Source organism: Homo sapiens, chromosome 3 (assembly GCF_000001405.40).
Source record: "Homo sapiens chromosome 3, GRCh38.p14 Primary Assembly".
Taxonomy (NCBI): Eukaryota; Metazoa; Chordata; class Mammalia; order Primates; family Hominidae; genus Homo; species Homo sapiens.
Window position 1 is genome coordinate 29,678,780 of NC_000003.12, and position 23,886 is coordinate 29,702,665.

At 37.5% G+C, this 23,886-nt stretch overlaps 1 protein-coding gene across 14 annotated transcripts in view; it reads left to right on the plus strand.

The window, feature by feature from the left end:
- Positions 1-23,886, plus strand: part of RBMS3 (RNA binding motif single stranded interacting protein 3) — a 729,325-nt gene that overhangs the window by 397,709 nt on the left and 307,730 nt on the right. Inside the window, exons 1-2 of one of the 14 annotated variants that reach the window (XM_047447976.1) lie at positions 17,448-18,317; positions 19,629-19,839. The exons of 12 other annotated variants lie outside the window; for them this stretch is intronic. In XM_047447976.1, coding sequence (XP_047303932.1) covers positions 19,726-19,839 — 114 coding nt within the window. In that variant the 5' untranslated portion in view covers positions 17,448-18,317; positions 19,629-19,725. Of the gene's footprint in view, positions 1-17,447; positions 18,318-19,457; positions 19,840-23,886 lie in introns of those variants that run through there. One more of the 14 variants, XM_005265063.3, reaches the window with a different exon arrangement.

The window sequence follows — 23,886 nt, forward strand, 5'->3', positions numbered from 1 at the left end:
AAGTTTATATCAGGTAGAGGGGAAAGATTCAACATATGGAGTCCAGGGGCCCATCTACCCCTCCATTTTATTGAGATCCAACCCTCAGTAGGAGCTACTAGCCACTGACTGGCTATTGACTGAGATGATATAATCACCTTTCGGCACACTTTAAAAGCTGAACAAATAATTTACAGGTATCTTACATTATTTCCCAAACTTCCTGACAACCATTTAGTATGGTGGCTACATCAAAATGGTTTGAGCAAGCACTGCTCCAGATAGTCCTAGAATCACAGCTTCAGAATCACCTGGGAGCTTGTCAGAAATGAAAATTCATGGGCACCACCTAGACCTGCTAAATTAGTGTCTCTGCAAATGGAGTCCCAGCATTCTGTGTTTCCATATGCTCTCCAGATGAGTTTTATGCATGATAAAGTTTGAAAAACCACTGATATTGATTACTCTTTACTTGTGAAGAATATATATGAGCTTCTTGTATTTATTTTTCGACTCAACATATACCCATGTGCAAACAACCAAAAAGCAGAGTAAAATGGGGTTTTGCATTATCCGTCGATTTTTCTATTTTTGAGCCAATCTCTTAATAGCATTTATTAGAGTCACTTTTGCCATACAATAGATTGCCAAGATCATGATTAAGAAGCTTATTAAAATGAATTTAAAATGTTTAAATGGAAACGACCTGGAGATGTAATTGCCAAAATTTAATCAAGCATTTAATTTGTAGCTCATACCAGCCAAATGGATTTTCCTTTTTTTCAGTTCCCTGTTTGTACAAGGAAATTAAAAAGTATGGAATCACAGGCCAAGCAGTGAACCCTTGATACTGCAGTGTGCTCACTTACTCTCATTAGCCGTATTATATCATCCTACTCCTTTGGAATTTTAGTTTCCCAAGCCAGTCTAGAGGATAGATAACAATTGACTGTATATATACACAATGGGTGAGTTAATATGCTTTAGCAATAATTTATACTACTTGACTGTATATATATATATATATATTATACATAGTGTTATAAATTACTGCTAAAACATATTGACTCACCCCATCAGCATTAATAAAATAGGCTAAATATTCTGATCTTAATTCTGCTTGTTTAAAATTCCCTTGTTTTAGCATGCCTGTCTAGCTGCCCTTAAATTGCTAAACTGGGGAGAAGTGTGATTTAGAATTGGAACATATTTCATGTGAATTTGATGATGGCCACCGCTGATAAAATACCTTTGTGTTGCCTCTTCCATTCTGCCAGTGATAATAGGTTTTCACTGAGCTCTTTGCACTTGTTTTACAAAGGCTCAAGCCTTGAATACTTTGTGCCTCACAGTATCCATCATTTAGACTCTGAAATCCCCAGTGTCGATTTGACAGAACAGTCGTTTATCAGCCACGGTTTGCCAAGTCAGCATTAATGCCTATGTGGCCTGAGGAAAAAAATAAATAAGATCAGTGATGTTCTAATCAAGCTCAGACAAACATGTTTTTATACTTGCATTTGAGTGATGTTTTGCCTAACAGAAGTGCTGGGTTAAGATACATTAACTTGGGTCCCATTCTATTCTCTCTTGCTCTGGATGTGATGAGCATAGCGAGTTCTAAGCAAAATAGTGCGTGTTTTTCTCCTCTGAGTAGAGTTTTGTTGGCATTTCCTAACGCTTCTTTATGAAAAAGAAAATCAAGACTTTCCAGTAACAAGTCATTCTATCTAATTTCACTTGGTGCAAACAGTGACTGAAATATTTCTTGATTTTAATTAGAAGAAAGCAAGAGAAAGACAGACCACAAGAGTTTCATGAAGAGATAGGCATATATTGTAAAATTTCCCTAACATTTTATTATAAAATTCCCAAATACAATCAAAGATGAAAAGGAGTTTACAGTGAGCTCACTGCCTTAACTCTACAATGAACCTTTTACTATTCTTGTTTTATTATATGCCCGTCACTCTTTCATTCATCCTATTTTTTTCAATAAGGCATCTATTACAGGTATCAGTACACTTCACTTCTAAACATTCAGCATGTATATCATCAACTAGAGTTCAATGTTTCTATTTTTCCTCTTTTAGGATGGAATTTCAATACAATGAAATACAGGAATCTTAAGTATGCTGTTTAATGAGCTTTACCAAATGTATTTACCTGTGTAACTTAAAACCCTATTGGAGAAATAACATTGCTGTCACCCTGGAAATTAATTCATGTATGTATGTCTGCATTGATGCATACATACTGCTAGACCTCTGATACTTTTCTTAATTTAATAAAGAGAGTCCACTAGTACATTACAGGGTAGCTGTGGGGGCTGACATGTTCATCTCTCTGCTATCTTTCTCTACTCTCTTAATGAAAATTACATTCTGCTCAGCCTACTTGTTGGCCTATATATCCTGCACTTACTGAATGATTTCTTAAATGTTCTTCATGAAATGTTTCATTAAAATTAGTGTAAGAATGAAAAAAATGTACAAAGAGAAAGCTAATCAGCTTCTTCTCCTACCAACACCTCCAACATAAGTAAATAGCCTCATGCTGACTGATCTATAACTTTATTTTTTTTTCTTCAGCTTTTATTTTAAGTTAATGGGTACATGTGCAGCATGTGCAGGTTTGTTACGTAGGTAAATGTGTGCTCTGGTGGTTTGGATCACATATTATCCCATCACCCAAGTATTAAGCCCAGCATCCATTAGCTAGTCTTCCTTATGCTCTCCATCCCCCACACAATCCCCCCAGACAGGCCCCAGTGTGTATTGTTCCCCCTTCCATGTGTCCATGTGTTCAATCATTCAGCTCCCACTTGTAAGTGAGAACACACAGTGTTTGGTTTTCTGTTCCCGCGTTAGTTTGCTGAGGATAATGGCTTTCAACCCCATCCATGTCCCTGCAAAGGACATGATCTTCTTCCTTTTTATGGTTGCATAGTATTCCATGGTGTATATGTACCACATTTTCTTTATCCAGTCTATCATTGATGGGCATTTGGGTTGATTCCATGTCTTTGCTGTTGAGAATAGTGCTGCAATGAACACATGCATGCATGTATCTTTATAATAAAATGATTTATATTTCTTTGGGTATATACCCAGTAATGAAATTGCTGGGCAAATGGTACTTCTGCCTCTAGGTCTTTGAGGAACCACCATACTGTCTTCCACAATGGTTGAACTAAAATTTGCACTTCCACCAACAATTTAAAAGCATTCCTTTTTATCTACAACCTCACCAGCATCTGTCATTTTTTGACTTGTTAATAACAGCCATTCTGACTGGTGTGAGATAGCATCTCAATGGATCCACAACTTTCTTTGTGCTCACCAATCTTACGAAAGGATGGCTTGATGCAGGAAGGCAATTAGATGTTTGTTTGTTTGTTTGTTTTGAGTCGGAGTCTCGCTCTGATGCCAGGCTGGAGCGCAATGGTGCCATCTTGGCTCACTGTAACCTCCTACTCCCTGGTTCAAGTGGTTCTCTTGCCTCAGCCTCCTGAGTAGCTGGGATTACAGGCACACGCCACCATGTCCAGGTAATTTTTTGTTTGTTTGTTTGTTTTAGTAGAGACGGGTTTCACCATGTTGGCCAGGATGGTCTCCGTCTCCTGACCTCATGATCCGCCGGCCTTGGCCTCCCAAAGTGCGGGGATGACAGGCATGAACCACCATGCCCGGCTAGATGCTAGTTTTTAAACAAGCTCTGATTCATTGATAATGATTTTTGGCTGCTTGGGGTGCTGTGTTAGGAAGGATCCTGTCTATACTTAGTGGAAGAGTACCAAGATTTCTTACAGTTTTTGCCACAGGCAGGAGTTGAAACTGGAAAGCAAGGGAGTGGGTGGCATTCCTTTCCCATTGTAGGTTTGGGGAGCGAACTGCTGCACCTGGCAACTGAAAGGGCCAGAAGGGCACAGAGTACCACTCTATAACATTTCTATTCTGGTTCATTTTTGTGTCCTATTAAAACAGCTAATGTTTCTCTGCAACAGTGCTATTCACAAAAAGGCTGTCCAAGTAGGGTTTGGATACACAAAGTAGGAAAGAGAGAGAGAGAAGGAGATAGATTGGCAGAAACTAGCATATTCTATCATTCTAAGAATGCAAACGTGTCACCATTTGCCTTAAAGCTGATATACTCTAGGAATTACTCTTCCTATGCAAAGTGTACAATTCTAAGTGTTTAAGTATTTGGATCACTGTTACTGTGGGATAATAATGTCCAGTTCAACTTCACTGCTTTTCTCAGAGAGGCAAATAGATACTGGGTCAGTCAAGATTATTCTTAGTGTGTCGGGGGCAGAATGGTGGGGTGAAAAATCAAGCTTTGCTTTCATTTTTTACTACCCGGCTTCCTACATAACACTTCAGCAGATGTCAAGACCATTTGTTTGGTTCCTCATAGCCTCCATGTGATCTTTCTCTTCACTGCAGTGTTCCCCAGGTGTGAGTTGCTTTGCTCAAGATCATTTTCAATGACTCAATTTTCAAAGCAAATGTACACACAAGACAGTAGTATTTTCAAAAACACAGGTTATCACATTTTCCAAGGGGGATAGACAAGAGAAGGGAGGATGCCGAGAATAGAGTGTGAGTTTATTTCACATAGCAGGTCTCATAAAGATTGCATCCATAAATGTGCTGCCAAATTGAACAATAGCAGTGGGGAATAAAGGGGAGGAGGGAAGAGAGGACTCAGATGAAGGCAAAGAGAAAAAACAACTTTAGGAAAGTGTGAAGTTTAAGGAGACATGCCTATAACACTGGCTTTCTACCCAGTCTCATGCTAACTCCTGGCTAGAAATATATAGGGACACAGACACACACACACACAAACACACCACCTCCTTGAAGGAAGAAACATTTTATTTAATCAGGATTGCTAAGGAATGTTGCTGCTGATAAGGCGACAGAAAATATTTCTGGGAGTGCATTTTCGGAACTTGGGAACAGAGACAGTCTGTCTGAACCCAGCTCAACTTTTCTTTCTTATCACTTTTTAAAAGCATGTTATCTTTAAGAGCCAAATTAACTTTTCATGATATGGTTTCTCAGCAGCTGACACTTGGGCATTACAGGGCTGGACAGGAATGACTAAGCAGTTTTGTAAAATGACTATCCCCAGAGCTGCTGGCTTGCTGGTTTTGGTGTCAATCATATATTTAGGATCTTTTTTCCTGTCTAGATTTATGTAGCTCTTTAAGAATAGAATTGCTTGGTCCAGGAAAGGTGTGACTAGTATAATAAACAAAAGAAGCCACAGAGGATATTCTTGTGAGAAACCAATTAATTATTCACACCAATATGTTATAAGTACAGTTCATTTTCTCTTTTGACTATTGCATTACAAAGAATTTTCTCAATGCATTCAGGAGATATAATTAATAATACCCTAAACAGTAATTTTAATAGTTATGGTGTTGTACTGGGAGGCCTATCAACTAAAATTCAAAAATAAAATAAACACAGTCCCTACTTTTAGGAAGACAAGAGTCACTGTATTTAAATTTTTACTTTTGATGTCTTTATTATTTGTGGACACTCTGAAAAACATAAAATGTCATATTATAACAGACTTTAATGTTTTAAAATAAGTGGGATTTTCAAAAACACACAGTTCTGGAAAGGTGTATTTCTTTATGTACCTATCTATATGATAAGAAGTTTTACCACATGGCTGTATCATTTATGGAATCAATTAAAACCAACTGTGGTGGTAAAAAAATAACCTCTAGTGGACTTATTCAACTGTATATGGAATTTTATTTAGGGAGTTATGGAATGAATAGTTTTTTTCCCTGAAAGCATTGTTTTGTTAGTTTTCTGATTGTTTGATAGATAGACATAAAAATTTTCCTTATAAGTCCTTGGATATAATTTTACTTTTCACATATGATTGATCCCTTCTATTTATTTTGCCATCAGAAACCAATTTTTTAACATTGCATATTATCCAGAATTTGAATGTCACAAAATTCAAACAGGTAAAATGTAAGGTTTGTTATGTACACACACACACACACACACACACACACACACACACAGACACATACACTGAGCTAAAGAGGATGGTCTTTGTGTACAGAAAAGGATAACATTTTTTCCCTTTAGTATGTTTATTGATGAACACAAACAGAATTCTGTTTGGTTTATGTTGCATGTTTTATTGTTTCTTTTTTTAGATTTTAATTTTCCTGTTACTATGTGTGTATGTGTGTAAGTATAAGTTTTATATTTTTCAGGGGTAAAACAGTTTCCGGTAAACAATTTTTTTGTTTTGCTTTGTTTTGTTTTGTTTTGTTTTGAGACGGAGTCTTGCTCTGTCACCCAGGCGGGAGTGCAGTGGCGCGATCTCGGCTCACTGCAAGCTCCGCCTCCCGGGTTCACACCATTCTCCTGCCTCAGCCTCCCGAGTAGCTGGGACTACAGGCGCCCGCCACCACGCCCAGCTAATTTTTTTTTGTATTTTTAGTAGAGATGGGGTTTCACCATGTTAGCCAGGATGGTCTCCATCTCCTGACCTCGTGATCCGCCCGCCTCGACCTCCCAAAGTGCTGGCATTACAGGCGCGAGCTGCAGCGCCCAGCCCGGTAAACATTTTTTTTATAGAGGGAGTTTTAATACGTTCTGTATTAGTTTCTCTGTTTTTTCATTTGTATATTTGATGTGATACTCAAGTTGCTATTTAAGCTCTATTCTACCTTTTTTTGTCCCATGGGAGTCCATTCCATCCTCTAAAAAAGGGAAGAACATCAGTTCTTTAGCCATTACTTGGTGCAAAACAAGTTCCGGTTTCCTCCTTCCCTCAGGTGTGGATAAGAGCAGAAAAGTAGATACACAAAGAGGTATATACTTATTAGAAAGAAATCACTTGCTTAAACAATAGGCAGGAACTGTGCGACTCGACCTGGAACAAATAGGCATAAATAAGCAGGAAAATGTAATATTTGTTTGAGAGCTTGAAATGCAGTCTTTTAGGACATATCTAGGACATCCCTGCATCATCACTTTGGTAAGAACTTCAGTACCTTGCCTGCCAGTCATTTATATGCACGTTCCGTCACAGTTAGTCCCACCTCTCCCCACACCTTCTGCACCACTGCTGCCACCACCATCACTGTGCCTGGCAGCTGGGTGAATCAGGAAGACTTCTAACGTTAGTTTTCCCATATTTACCAACAAGTCTTCCAAAGTGGGCCCAAATTAAAGTTGTGTAACAACATCGCTTTCCCTCTCTGGATCTTCATTACTGGAGATGGAGGCAAGCACTTTACTATGGTAAGCACTTTTGACCTTAGACAGGTGGCCTAAAAGGTGGGTACCAACTAGCCTTTAGGACATATTCAGGAGGGCTTCTATACCAAGACTCTCTGGCCAACGTAGGCTAACAGTTCTTTTCCCTTGAGTTTTCATTTGCTTCATCTTAACCATATCTCTATTACTCTAATCAGTACATTCTAATAAAATTACTTGTATGTCTCTCAGTAAAAATATGGTCTTCTTGAGTCCCCCCATTTCAAAATTATTTTATTAGATCTTTTTAGGCTTACTGTGTCTCTGAAGGGCTTGGTGTATATTCATTGTTTGATAGCATATCATGGACAGTTCTGATATTTTAAACAAAAAATAGGCCGGGCATGGTGGCTCATGCCTGTAATTCCAACATTTTGGGGAAGATGAAATAGGAGAATTGCTTGAGGCCAGGAGTTTAAGACCAGCCTGGGTATCATAAGAGACCCCATCTCTGTAAAAAATAAAATTAAAAAGCCAGATGTGATTGCATGCCCCACTAGTCCCAGCTACTAGAGACGCTGAAGCCAGAGGGTTGCTTGAGTGCAGGAGTTCTAAATTACAGTGGGCTGTGATCACACTCTATCCTGGACCACACAGAAAAACCCTGTCTGTAAAAAAAATTCAAAAACAAATAATTACAAAGAATAGGAAATTAATTAAATATAAGAACCAATGATTGCTTACATTTTCATACGTCTTTCCTTATTTTCCTTTATCTTGGTACATATAAACTCTAAAATAATAGGATATAACTTAACAAATGTTTATTGTTTATTTTTTTCTTCAATTTCTATGTGTAACAAAACCTTAGGATTGTCAGAAATAAAGTCATTATTTTGTTTAAGGAGGAGGGTCCTGCTAGCCTTAGTAAACATAGCCCTTATCTTTCTTCTCTAAGATAAAATGGCAGGTACTGGCTAGATGCTGCACTCTACAAGTATATCATCAGTTTTGTTTTGCTTTCAGACTAGTACTAGGAAAGAATGAGGTCATGCATTTTGAAAGTGGGTTTTTGTGGGTTTTCTTTATGTGTGGTTTCTTTTTGAGTCAGATAAGTTTTTTTCCTTCCTTTTCAGGTCACACTTATACTTTTATGCAAAATATTCTAAGTTGTGTCAACTGAGGACATGGCTACAGATAATAGAAGTGATTTTAAAAGCCACTTAACATAAAAGGATTGTTCCAATTTCCCAGAACAGCCAGGTTTCTGTTTAATCCAACCCCTTTAGAATATAGCTTATATCTCTGATGTTCAAAGCCATGTGTTCGTCTTGAAATAATCAAAACAATAGAATCCTCAAAGAATCCAGTGCATAGGCAACATGTATTATGTTATTTAGTTAGTTTTGACAAGGTTATCTAGGCAGTTAAACATTATTATCTACAGGATTTCTTTTTCCTTCAACATGAAGACATTAAGTTCAGATTTGTAGAGCAGAGAATATCTGTTTCATATTTGACACAAGCTATCTCAATTTAATCCCCATTTTCCTTCATTAGACAAGCGAAGCTAATTATTTTGAGAAATGAATGATAAATAACTACTGATAATTAGACACAAAGGTTTTCGGGGTATGCTGTGTTGGTTCATATAGGGAATGTTCATAAAACATTATAACAGCAAAAACATTAATTTGAAGAAAAAATTTGGACCCTTCAAATTTTGCTTTCCTGTTTTCCCATTTCCATATGCTGAGAAGATACCAATATTTTCACAATTGTGACTTGCTAGACATAAGTTACGAGGGATAATAAAATAATATCCTACCTATTAGTTGTAGCAACTAGCTTCAAGGGGATTATTAGACCCATGAACTGAAGTCAAGTAGTATAGAATGATAATTACATTTATTACAGTATGCCCAGATTATAGATATTTTGATATGTCTTGCCACAAAGGACACCAGAGTCATATTATGTTTCAGTGGTACTAGAGGAAGCTGCACGAATAATTACCGTTAGTTTCATGGAACATCTAAACTGATATTATTTTCACCCAGCTCTACTCCAATTGCAAATTGCTTTTCCCAAAGCAAGAGCTAGCTTTCTCATCTTTCTGCTTGATGAAGGTAAGTTATTCAGCCCTGATTTGCCTTTTCTTCTCTTCTCTTACCTCCTGTTATTCTTAGCCAGTACCACATCCTGAAACAATGACCAATCTTCCAATGCTTTTATGTGCATTGATTTCCTATCCCCATTTTCTTGAGGGTAGAGAGATTATTTGCCTTTGCAGTGATCCAAAAAATACTTATCGCAAGTTGAAGAGCTTAATGCACTCTTGTTAATAGTTATTTTGTCAGTTTAGAAGAGGGCAAAGACAGGGGACAGTTTCTATCCACAAACTATAATCCTTCTAAAGACTTCATACACTCTCATCATCCACATCTTTCTGGAAGAGGGTAGATCCCACATTGTGAATTTAACCTCTGGTTTAGTATATAAATTTGTTTTTCGTTTTGATTAATGTAAATAGTCACATCAGGCACAAAAGTTACAGGATTTTTTTTTTTTTTTTTTTTTTTTTTTTTTTTTTTTTGAGATGGAGTCTTGCTCTGTCACCAGGCTGGAGTGCAATGGTGTGGTCTCAGCTCACTGCAACCTCCGCCTCCCAGGTTCAAGCAATTCTCTCACATCAGCCTCCTAAGTAACTGGGACTACAAGCGGATGCCATCACACCAAGCTGATTTTTGTATTTTTAGTATAGACAGGGTTTCACTCTGTTGGCCAGGCTGGTCTCGAACTCCTGACCTCGTGATCCACTCACCTCAGCCTCCCAAAGTGCTGGGATTACAGGTGTGAACCACTGTGCCTGGCCTAGGATATTTCTTGCTAAAGACTGATGGAGAGATTTTTTCTTAAAAAGGAAATCAGAGAGGTGGGAATTTGTGAAGAGATTATGATTTGGCCTTTGCATAGGACAACTTCACGATGCTGTTATCTACTAAACCTGTACCAAAATTCCTAGGGCTAATCATTTAAAAAAATACACATCTATATCTATTTCTATGTACCTATTTCTATATACCTATATAGAAATAGATATAGATATAGATATAGATATAGATATATTGGCTTCTTGCTTCCTTTAGAGCTTGTATATTTCATCAAAGTAATTTTTTTAAAGATAAACTGCTTTAGAAATTTAAACTTATTTATTATAATGCTTCTTGGATATTATCCTTGCCTTAAATTAAGCAAAATTCATAATTTCATAAAAAGATCTACATCTTTTTTCTGTCATTAATTATGTGCTCCCCATACCCATAAAGAATTAAATAAAAATTATTTGACTCTTTTTCTTTATTCATTTTTTAAAGTACATAAATGTACTTATGAAAATATGTGGTTTTAAGCTTAATTTTGTGACATACATTTTGAATATTTAAAATTGGGCTGACAAAGCAGTAGATATTCTCAGGAGTTTAATTTTACTTGTATGGCAAGAGTTGATAATTTGTGAGTTTTACAGTATTTTATTAGAGAAAGTTTACCAGGGAAGCAGAGTGGAAAATATATAAAAATGTATTCTAAACCTGCAAAATAAAGCCCTAGATAGAATTTGTTTACATGTACTGATTAATTAGAAGGCTTGCTTTGTAAGGAAGCACTATGCAAATTATTTTTTCTCAGTTATTAGTCTAAGAAAGAGACAAAAATAACTTTTATTACAAAGAAATCTCTGCTTGCATCCATATTTTACATCTTTATAAAAATGTTTTAAAAGAGAGGTATGGCCAGGAGCAGTGGCTCATGCATGTAATCCCAACACTTTGGGAGGCTGAGGCATAAGGTTCACTTAAGGCCAGGAGTTTGAGACCAGATTCAGCAACATAGCAAGATCCTATCTCTACCAAAAAAAAAAAAAAAAAAAAAAAAAAAAAAAAAAAAAAGTGAAAGAAAGGGAGATGCTATTACTGTTTCTTTCATAATCTAGCTACTGGCTAACCAAAAGAAATGAAACATTGCTGAAGGTATTGATTTTCTGGTATATGTGGAAAGTATACATTTTATTAATCACATATCTCACAATATATAGAATAATATAAATTATATTTATAAGAGATCAATAGAGATTTTTGAGAGAAAGTAAAATGACATATCTGGCCAGGCGTGGTGGCTCATGCCTATAATCACAGCACTTTGGAAGCCCGAAGTGGGAGGATTGCTTGAGCCCAGGAGTTTAAGACCAGCCTGGGCAACATGGTGAGATCTTGTGTCTACAAAAAATTCAAAAATTAGCTGGACGTGGTGGCATGTGCCTGTGGTCCCAGGTACTTGGGAAGTTGAAGAAGGAGGATTGCTTGAGCCCAGGAGTTTGAGGCTTCAGTGAGCTGTGTTCTTGACAGAATGAGACCCTGTCTCAAAAAAATGAAAAACAAATGATATATGTATATTTTTAAATTTTTCTGTTATAACTGATTCAAATTGTTCTTCACCTCTAATCAATTATCTCTAATCAATTATGTTTCTTTGTGATAACTTTGAAATGGGTTATATATTTTCATGACTCAGTTTTGACAGTATTCAAGTGCTAAATTGAATCTCTACATTCATGTTGCCAAGAGTTTTGAAAGTAATTGTTGTTAGTTAGTATACTTATCAGAAATTTTAGAGGCCCAGAATTCTCTTTCAAGTTCTGTGCTTTCCATACCAGTATTTTAGTTTTGCATTTTTGTTTTGCCTAAACAGTTTGAACTTTGTGCTCTGTCATAAACTCCTACTTTTACTTTTCTGCTTTTTGCTACAATTTGTTTATTTGGACTAGTGTTAATTTATCACCTAGAAAAGAATGTTATTTTAGGAATTTTTGTATCAGTTTAACTCATGGAACTGAAAATCTGTCTCATGTCTCAGTGCAAAAGAATGGGAATATATTTTAGATTTCATAATTAGCATGTGCTTAAGAGGGTTTTTATATTCTTTGTGTGCAATGCTTAGCAAGGTTTATACATGTTTGGAGGATTAGGTACACCTAGAAAATATAATCTACCAGAGGGAGTTCTATTATCTTATGGTTTTCAGCAAGTTTAACTCCATGGAATTGCAGACAGAAAGAGATATTGTATAAATATGCCAGTCATATTTTGACATCGCAGTCTTGTATTGACACTTTCATCAAACTGTGGGAGAACAGAGCATTTCTTGAGGTATAAGTTCTTGTAAGTATTTTGCAGAACAAAAGTTTTCTCTTCTATTTGTACTAAATCTTCTAGGCCACAAAGCGTCAAGAAGAAAATTGACTAAATAATTATGGGTTCTGTACCTTCTCCCAGAATACTTACCCTTGACCTGAGGAATAACTTTCCTTCATGGTAAGATTGACCCAAAATATGGCTTGAAATGAACTTTCTCTGCTCTAGTATTAAGAAATAATAGCACACACTCTTGGTACTTCTCTTTTCATGACTTGTTCGTGGGTTTCTGTCAACATCAATAAAGTGGTTCTTTGTAATAGCCAATCATTTGTTTAATGCATGCCTCATTTCTACTCATCTTAGAAAGAAAAGTCAAGAAGTCCCACAGAAATGCCCCAAAGGAAAAAATAAAATAAAACAAAATGGCTTAATTCATGACACTTGTGATTTATTGAGTCTTCTTTCATCTGTCATGTAAGATGTACAAGCACCAGGTTCAATTTTTATTTTTGGTTGGTTTCTCTGACAGAGACTCATAATTCTGCCCTAGAGTTAAATCTTATGGAAAAAAACACTGAAAATAAATAGCACGTTTCTTCCTCTAGATGCCATCTTTTCTCTGTCACATAACAATGCGGATTTGCTCCCAATAGTTTATGTGCATAGCTTTCAAATCTAACACTGGTAGCAATCAAACAAGTTAAGTATAAATCTTATTTATGTGTGACCCTTCTCTCTCTCTCTCTCTATTTTTTTTTTTTTTTTTTGAGATGGAGTATCCCTCTGTCGCCCAGGCTGGAGTGCAATGGCACAATCTCAGCTCACTGCAACCTCTGCCTCCTGGGATCTCGGCTCACTGCAACCTTTGCCTCCTGGATTCAAGCAATTCTCCTGCCTCAGCCTCCCAAGTAGCTGGGATTACAGATGCCTGCCACTATGCCAAGCTAACTTTTGTATTTTTAGTAGAGATGGGGTTTCACCATGTTGGTCAGTGTGGTCTCAAACTCCTAACCTCAGGTGATCCACCTGCCTTGGCCTCCCAAAGTGCTAGGATTACAGGTGTGAGCCACCGCGCCCGACCTCTATATTTTTTAAATGCCTCATGTTTCCATTTTAACTTGATCTTGCATATATAACCATTTAACCAAGCTTGCTAAGACTTAAAGAGGTATAATTTTAGCTTGTCAATATTCATTGTTTTGAGCCCTGTTTATAATGAAGTATAACAATAAGCATTATTATGCTTTAGTGAGTTGAACTTGAATATGCTTGAGTGACCTGACTTGCTCACATTAAAAACGGAACAACAGAACCGTAGAAAAAGTGGAGTAATCTCAAGATTTTCTTGTAAACGTTACATTAAGAGACTTTATTTGACAACCTAATCAAAAAACTGACCATGTGTTTTCCTCTTCCCATCATTTTCTCAGATTCCCTTTCTATCATTTTCTCTCCCATCATTTATCCTCATGATCCATAGCGATTGCAAAGCACATCGCAAATGTGAATAGCTATATTGTTCCTGCATGATAGTAATGAGTATACTGCTACCTCCAAAGGGGCTGAAAGTTAAGATAGGTCTTTTACAAAGCAGGAAACATAACCTTAAGCATAATTATAAATTATATATATAATCATGCTCTCTTTTCTTTAGGATAAGTGATTAGTGTTCAAGTTTAGTGCTTATATTTGCTTTAAAAATGTACATTGTGCTCATTTATGTTTTGGTACGGACAGATCCTTTATATGACCACTGTGCTAAATATTTTTTTAAATCACTGACTAGACATCCTGATTTATGTGTCTAGATTTATATTTCCAGAAACATACACTGTAACTTATTCTGTTTAATGGCTAAGACACTTCTGCATAATTTACATTGAGACTAAAGTGGTTTTTTACTGAGATACTTTTCTCTATGACAAACCAACATTATGATATCTGATAGAAATACAACACTCTTCTTTACATTTTTTCCCCAAATTTTAGAATGAATTAAAGACAAATACCCATCAGAAAACATTCCTTGAAAATGCATAATTGTGATGTGTGATGCTGTACAGAGCAAATTCAGACTAATACATAGACCTCAAATTCATGACTATAATTTTCTCTGGATAGTTAGAAAGATATTTTAAGGTGTTTCATGCCTGAGGAATAATGTCATTATTGAATGCATATACATACATGGATGCCTCTGAGGATGTCCTATATCTAATAAACAGCCCAAGTCATGGGCAAATATATATCTTATAAACAGGGGGATGGGAAAAGCATGCCAATTTATTTCTATTGAGCTAAAATTTAGGGTCCACATTTATTTATTGACTATGATCTTGGGTAAATGACTGAGTTTTCTTGTGTCTCAGTTTACTTATTTGTAAAATAAATCATGTTACTTCAAAAGATTATTGCAAAGATTAACTACTATTAGCATATAAGAAAGCTTAACATACTTTATTCATACAGTCATTCTTCAGTTTCATAAATGTGCCCTTCTCGGTAGAGAAATGGGTAACATCAGTGAACTAGGTTGAGACCGAAGCTGTACATAATGATAATTTCAATGATTTGATCAATAATTTCAGATTGATTTTTGTTCATCCTAAGACAAAACTTTGAATTCTCTATCTTTTCTGTTTGTCCCCTCTTAGCTAGGTTGGAAATACTACTCTTGTTTTGTTCTTTAAAGGCAAATAGTAAAATGTTTATCCATTATTTTTCAAACACTGATTACTGTAGACAGTGTCAACATGATCAGTGTTTGAGTTTTAAAGCAATAGTTGAATCAAGTTGCTTCACAGTGGTTTCTTCAAAATACCACAAAATGACAGGAACACTTACGCAGTGAACACTTGGATTTGCTTCTTGATCCTTGGTATTTGAAACATGTATGGAATGCATCCTCTGTGTCAGCCAAGACAGCCTCTGGAGAGTGAGGCAGGTTTGTGTGTTGAGGGAAGGGGGTGTGCAAGGGGGTGGCCATGGCTACATTAGTTGCCTCTGCTTCTGATATCTGTTTTTCATTACATTTTGATAGATTATGTCATCTTTTTGTCACATACATTTTCACCCAAGTCTGGAACTATATTTCTCTTTCATTTCCAACTTACATCCTCAAAATCATTCATGGAAGCCTTTGTCTATATAACAAATTTCTCTACTATTTTGAGGGAACATGTCCTATTGTAGAAAGATAAACCTTTTACAATTGTTCGTCATAAGAGGAAATCTGCTTTAAAAATATTTCATAGGGCTGTCTTACTCTTATTCCTAAAAAAAGTTATTACTGTAGAACTAGTTAGCAAGAGTTACTCTGTTCTGGGTTACTTGGGATTCACTGTTAGCAAAGACTAACAATTAGTTTGTATATCCGTATATGGATGTAGGTGGTCACAGTAATTTCCTGCTTGATTTTTTTTGAATTCCAATTAATATAGGAAGTTTCTGAATTTCTAGGTATTTCAGGATTTGCATATACTTAGAGTTCAATTATGTTTTAAACACATTATCTGTGCAAGTGACTGTCCTAAATGTTGTGGCTAAAGAGGAGGAAGCATAAAAAAATAAAAAAAATTAAAAACTGTTCTTACCCATCTCCCACCCCAGCCCCAAATTTTAAAATCTAGCAAAGTAAAAAGCTGCATGCAAATTTTTTTTTAAAAAAAAAATACAAGGCAGATTGTTTTATATTCATGTAACAATTGTCAGGCACAGGAGCCTAAGCAGACACATTCCTGGTGTGGTTATTCATAACTTAGCTAAGCAATGTCTGCTATTTATCACTGCACTTATAGGCTGGTGAGAGTCTCTCATTGCCCACTGCTGAGTCACTCACCTTTTCATTTTGAAAGCAAGTTTGGCCATTTTTTTTAAACAACACTTTTGCTCAAATAACATGAAAAATTCCAAGTCCCTTTGGAGTTTTACTCTTACTACTACTGTAGCAGTTTGTTCATATTAGGATCTCGCAGACTATCTAGAAGCAATGAATTATTATCTAGTCTTGCAAAGATCTAGTATAAGAAAGGATAAATAAAACTAACAAATTTTAAAATGGTATGAATTCAGGTTTTGTGACTTTTTCCTTATTAATAAAAAAGGATTAGTGATACTAATGCTACTGGATTTGTAGAAAGGTTAAATGTAAGAATATGGACAATTGGTTGGAGACATGGTAGGCATTCCACAAATGTAAGCTCACTGCGAACTTCTTAGAACTCTGTGTAGAGTATGTATTCCTATGTTTGTTGAGGAGGGGCATTTTAGTTAATATATAGATCCTACTTTTAATTATTATTTTCACTCTTTAAATGTTAGTTCTTCACTTCTAGAGTTGTTATTCTGTTGGCTTCTCATTTTTTCCCCTTTTTTTCTTCCAAGTGCAAAATTTTAAGTGAAATCTCAGGCAGCCCTCATTTAACAATTTCATGTGAAAAAATAACCATTGTGAACTCTCAGAGTAGTAATTACAGGAAGTTATGAAACTTTGCTAACTTTTACTAACAGATAAAGCATTTTCTTTTGATTGTTAGGAAATCGTGTGTGGACAGCACGGGAGAACACACTCTGCCTGTACACATTGCCAACTCTTGCTTCATTGAGTTTCACAAACAATCCCAAGCTTAATTTTAGCCAAAAATGTAAACCAGTTCCCACAGTAAAAGTTGTGCTAATTTCCAAGTTGATTTTTATTTCTTTTTCATTCCTCTGTTGTTTGAACTGGTCAAATTGAGCAGTGAGATGGCCAAGGGACAAAGGGTAAGGCCAGGGGGGTCACTAAACCAAGACCAGGCTCTAGGATTTCAATGTTTCTTTCTTCTTTCTTGCCGTCAGTAAAGATCCCCTAGGCATTGACATTTTAAAAACTCTCCATGTCTTCTGTTAACTCCCTTAGGATCCTGATCTCTGTAACAAAGATGGATGGTGACACTTAATTATGGACACTCACAGGCATCCAATTCAAGCAATCCTGGCTTCCAAGCCCAGATCTGCCCCTTACTAGCAGTGTGACTTCACGTGAGTTAGGCTCTCAGTTTTTTTCATCTTTAAAATGGGGATTATATTTCCTGATTATAGTAGCTGATTATAATACAGATTATGGTGCCAATCTCAGAGGTAAGATAAATGCACTTAGCATACAACATAGAACACAGTAAGTGCTGAATAAATGGTACCTGCCATTATTATTGCAAGCTAATTAAAAACGATCATTTGTACTAAATTATGTTTTATTCAAGGAAGGTAATGTCATTCCTCACCAATTAATCATTTGTTGATGAAAGGCCCTTGAGTAGCAATGTCACACACTGTATGAGAACTGGAAAGGATAGATCTTTTGTTACATCAGCCACCCTGTCTCATAGATGACTGCTGGCTCCTCTTTTCTGCACGAAGGCCAGAACATGAAAAGTTAGATATTTATAAAATTGCTCAATTCATAATATTTGAGAGTTGATGATAATTTCTGTTTTAGCTCTTGCTCCCCAAGGAGCAGATGCTTCTGGGGAGGTTCAGGAGCACGTGAAGAAACAACACTGATAGATGGCGATCGGGACAAGAGCACCTTATTAATTCAGCTACCACTGTGGGTGACTGCAGGTCAATACCCTAGGGCAACTCCAAGAGCCAGTGTAGGGTACACATCTTAGAGTCATCATACACAAGGGGTGAGGGAGCTAGGTTATTTATACACCAACCCCTGATTGACTAGTAAAATGTCTCCCCTGGTCGTTTGGGTTTTTTTTAATTTTTAATTTTTGTAGGTACCCCTAGTAGTTGTGATTTCTCCAAAACTTCTAACTTGCTACAAAGGAGGACAACAGAGATTATCCAGCCAGAGAAGTTCTTACATAAAGAAATGCAGGGCCTGTGTGCTCAGCATGGTAAGGACAAGGTAATATAAACAGGCACAAAAAGCATTTGTTTTTATTTCTTATACAGTAATATGGATCTAAGTTTGGGAAAATTTTAATGGAATCTTCCTGAACATATATTCTTAATGATACAATTGGTTTATATTAAAATTTGCTATTGAAACAAATGTAGTTTTGGTAAAGAAAAGCTATCATATACCTATGGAATTTTAGACAACTTCCTCCAAACCATTAATCTTTGCACACTTGCTTCTTAATGAGCCCATTTGCACAATCCTATTTATCATTTTACTTACATGCTTGTCCATCTCTCTGAAACGTTGGGGGAACATGACCAGAACTTCACCCGGTTTACTTTTCTTTCCATTGTTTAATCCACCTATCTGAGCTACCTTGTTTACCAATGTTACCCATGAACTGACAGGAGTTTATTTTAATCTAATATTCTGCTTTTCAAAGGAAGAAACTTATTACAGTTTGAATGTATCTTGTCCAAAATGCCTGGGACCAGAAGTGTTTCAGATGTTGAATTTCTTTGGATTTTTGAATATTTGCATATATGCAATGAGATATTCTGGGTATGGGACCCATGTCTAAACACAGAGTTTGTTTATGTTTCATATATACCTTATATACATAATCTGAAGGTAATTTTATACACTATTTGAAAGTAATTTTGGGCATGAAACAAAGTTGCGACTGTTTTTTCTGCGACCCACCACATAAGATCAGATGTGGAATTTTGCAGTTGTGCATCATTTTAGCGCTCAAAAAATTTCTGATTTTGGAGCATTGTGGATTTCAGATTTTTTATTTAGAGTTGCCTAATCTGTATACAAAAACTTTAAGTACTCTCCTGCCTGATATGCTTAGTAGTGCATTCATCTGCAGATTCTACCAACTTCTGTCCTTTTGTTATACTGCTGATAATCATTATTCCTCTGACATATTCCACGTGCACCTGTCTTAACAACTAAGGGGGAAAAGCAACACAAAAATCTTCATACTTGGTGCTTCATTTTATGTGAGCTCCCTGAAGGGACAGGCTTGTGGCTGTGCCTACATTCCAGTGAAATTAATGCTCCTTCTTCAGACTACTGTTATTCTATTTATAGCCACAGGACTTCAATTTTATAAGAGTCCAGAAAGTTCTGAGTAATGCACAGAATTCTACATACACAGCAAATGCAGCCATGGCAAAATGTAGTCCCTGGTGAGGGAGGCAAACAGAGAATCAACAATCCTTTGCTTTTATTGGAATAATAAAACCGGAGCAGTTTGTGTCTGAATGTGCTGTAAACCAGATTTTTTTTTTCATGTAAATTCTATAGCCAGGATATCACAGACATTGCCATGAAAGTGGTAAATGGAGAAATACAGTCTTTGGAGGAATCTTGACTTCTCAGCACTCTTTGTTTATTCATTTAAATGTGCCTATTTTTATGGATGGTGGGTCAAGATGGCGGATTCAATGAAATAGTATTTCATAACAAAATGAGCATGAAGAGAATTTGGGCATGTCTACCAAAACACGAAGGACAAGTGAGTACAATCATATATTGTTACCATCTCCCAAGTCTTCTCATTTGCTTTTTTTAAAGTATTGAAAATTCTGGAAAGACTCTGTGTGGACTATGCTATTCTTAATGTTTATTAAGGAGAGGACACTTTACATAATTTATAGAGCTTATTTTTAATTATTGTTTTGACCCATTGGATGTAATTACACATTTTTTGTTGTACGAAAAATTTATATAATTAATACTACCATATTAAAGACTATTATAAAATATTTATCACCATTTATTAGACTAATGGTAGCATACTATTCACTTTTATTCACCCAGCTTTCTTCACATAACAACATATCTTGGTGCTCCTTTATAATAACAAATGTAAACATTTTCGACAAATACATAAAGTTCCATTTTGTGAATACTTCACAGTTTAATAAACCATTTCCCAATTGATAGGCAATTGGCTTTGTTATGAAATACTATCCTAGTGAAGAGGCTTAAACATACACAAAAAATCTTTCAATAAGTACCTTCTTGAAAGAAGGTTTCAAATGTAGAGCTATTTTCATTTTTTTGAGATGAAGTACCACTCTGTTGCCCAAGCTGGAGTGCAGTGTCACAATCTCAGCTCACTGCAACTCCGCTTTCCAGGTTCAAGCAATTCTCCTGCCTCGGTCTCCGAAGTAGCTGGGACTACAGGCAAATGGCGCCAAACCCAGCTAATTTTTGTATTTTAAAGTAGAGTCAGGGTTTCATTTGGCCAGGCTAGTCTCGAACTCCTGACCTCAGGTAATCCACCTGTCTTGGCCTCCCTAAGTGCTGGTATTACAGGCGTGAGCCACCGTGCCTGTCCTGTGGAGCTATTTTCTAATGGCTAAAATTCAGAATTTGCAAAAATGAAAATGAAAATCAACTATAATTTTACCAATTTATTATTAACTCTTTCCAGCTTTTGTTCTGTTTGCACATACAACTCTAAAAGCGTAGGAAATTAGGATGTATGTAACTCATGTAGCCTTTTTTTCTCAGTTAACATTGTGACGTAAGTATTACCTATGTCAAAAATAATTCTCTATAAACATGATTTTAGTGTCCGCATAGTATGGTAATATTATAATTAACCACTTATCCATAACGTACAGACATATTACACCCCCATACATATTGCTATATTACATATAAGGGAAGATATACTGATTTGTACACTAAACCACAGTGCACATGTACCTACATTACCTGTCTGTGTAACCTCCTTCAGATTATGATTCAGTAGGTCTGAGGCAGGACAAGAAAGCCACTGCCACTTATCCTTGGATGAAACCTCAAATAGCAGGGGTATAAAGGATGATGATGGCCTATTATTTTATTTTACTTCCTTTAAGACTGAACAAAGGGACTGGATTTGTCATATTTAAATTAGATGCATTGGCACCCTAGTAGTTATATTTATTGAACTCTCTAAGAGACTTTCTAAGGTAGATGCTCGGTTTAGGCTATTTTGGCCACATCCCAAATAAAGTCACAATACTGGACTATGTGATCTCTGGATATCCTTTTTTCTGAATCCTTTGATTCCAGGAACACTTTTCTCTCACTTTTCAGTATCTGCCAGTAGATCTATTATAGATGTGTTACAGTTAAACATCAAAATATGGTGGCTCTTTGCTGTGATAAGCTAGAGAGTAATAATTTATTAGTCAAGACAGGAATAGTATGGAGTTCTTTTTCAGTCTCTTCCATATGTTGCAGAATTAACGCCAAACTGTGTACGGTCTGAATCCTTTCCATTGAGGCAGGTTGTAGAACATGAGCTTATGAGGCTCCAGAATTTTCCTGGAATACATCTTTCCTACATCTCTTGTAGAGCTCATGTTCCCAAAGTAATCATTATACAAATACTCAGCTGGCTGGCTCTAGGAATCCAAGTATAAATAGCAAATTTTACTTGCTCTCAAGGGCCTTTGAGTTTAATAGATCAGACAGGCAAGAAAATTGGTAATTATAGAACATGTATGGTAAGTACTATAGTAAGATATGAATAGGTGCAAAAGAGGGAATCCTAACTCAATTATTTCAGACTTTTTTTTTTTTTCAGGAAAGTGAAGACAAGCTATAATTAGCCAAGGAAAGTAATGGGGAGTTAGGGGAGAAGGGAATATTTTTCAGGAAAGCTTAGAGGTTCAAAAAGGATAGAGGAATTTAAAAAAAGAGAAATTAGAGAGCTGCAAGTAATCTGGTTAGAGGACACACGAGGGAGATTATAAGCATGTGTGTGTGTTCGTGTGCATGTGTACACGTATACGTTGGAGATTGGACATTGCGCTTTTTAGAAAGGTGAAGAAGTTGGAAAGGTAAGAAAGGGCCTGGACTTGAAGGGCTTTGTTAGGCTAGCTAAACCATTTGAAATTAATTCTGAGAACAATGAAGAACTGTTTAAAAGTTTTAAGTAGTACTCTGCCCGCCTTGGCCTCCCAGGAGTTCGAGACCAGCCTGGCCAACATGGTGAAACCCAGTCTCTACTAAAAATACAAAAATTAGCCGGACGTGGTGGCGGGCTCCTGTAATCCCAGCTACTTGGAAGGCTGAGGCAGGCGAATTGCTTGAACCTGGGAGGCAGAGGTTGCAGTGAGCTGAGATCGCGCCATTGCACTCCAGCCTGGGCAATAAGAGCGAGACTCTGTCTCAAAAGAAAAAAAAAAAGAAAAAAAGTTTTAAGTAGTGAATGTTACCTCCGTAAAAAACAAGCTAGGAACCAGAATGTAAGAGCTCACTCACTGCAGTCTAGAGAATGACTGTTTGGTGGCCCATGGTGAGAGGTAACAGCCTGCTGGCAGCCCTCGCTCGCCCTCGGTGCCTCCTCAGCCTCAGGGCCCACTCTGGCCGTGCTTGAGGAGCCCTTCAGCCTGCTGCTGCACTATGGGAGCCCCTCTCTGGGCTGGCAGAGGTCGGAGCCAGCTCCCTCTGCTTGTAAGGAGGTGTGGAGGGAGAGGCGCAGGTGGGAACTGGGGCTGCGCGCGTCGTTCACGGCCCTGTGTGAGTTCTGGGTGGGCGTGGGCTGGGCGGGCCCGCACTCGGAGAGGCTGGCCGGCGCCACCGGCCTTGGGCAGTGAGAGTTAGGCGGGCCAGCAGCTGCGGAGGGTGCACCTGGTCCTCTAGCAGTGCCGGCCCACTGGCACTGCGCTGGAATTCTCACCGGGCCTCAGCTGTCTCCCAGCGGGGCAGGGCTTGGGACCTGAAGCCTGCGCGCAGCCGGAGTCTCACCGAGGAGCCCCACCCCCTGCTCCACGGCGCCGCCCGGTCCCATCGACCGCCCAAAGGCTGAGGAGTGCAGGCCCTCGGTGTGGGACTGGTGGGCAGCTCTGCCCGCGGCCGTGGCGCGGGATCCACTAAGGAAAGCCAGCTGGGTTCCTGAGTCCAGTGGGGACTTGGAGAACTTTTATGTCTAGCTAAAGGTTTGTAAATATGCCAATCAGCACTCTGTGTCTAGCTCAAGGTTTGTAAACACACCAATCAGCACCCTGTGTCTAGCTCAAGGTTTGTAAATGCACCAATCAGTGCTGTGTGTCTAGCTAATCTAGTGGGACTTGGAGAACCTTTATGTCTAGCTAAAGGATTGTAAATCCACCAATCAGCACCCTGTGTCTAGCTCAAGGTTTGTAAATGCACCAATCAGTGCTCTGTGTCTAGCTAATCTAGTGTGGACTTGGAGAACTTTTGTGTCTAGCTCAGGGATTGTAAACACACCAATCAGCACCCTGTCAAAACAGACCAATCAGCTCTCTGTTAAACAGACCAATCAGGTCTCTGTAAAATGGACCAATCAGCAGGATGTGGGTGGGGCCAGATAAGGGAATGAAAGGCTGCCAGAGCTGGCAGTGGCAACCCGCCGGGGTCCTCTTTCACTCTGTGGAAGCTTTGTTCTTTTGCTCTTTGCAATAAGTCACTGCTGCTCACTTTTTGAGTCCACACCATCTTTATGAGCTGTAACTCACCACAAAGGTCTGCAGCTTCATTCCTGAGGCCAGCGAGACCACAAACCCACCAGGAGGAATGAACAACTCTGGATAGGAGG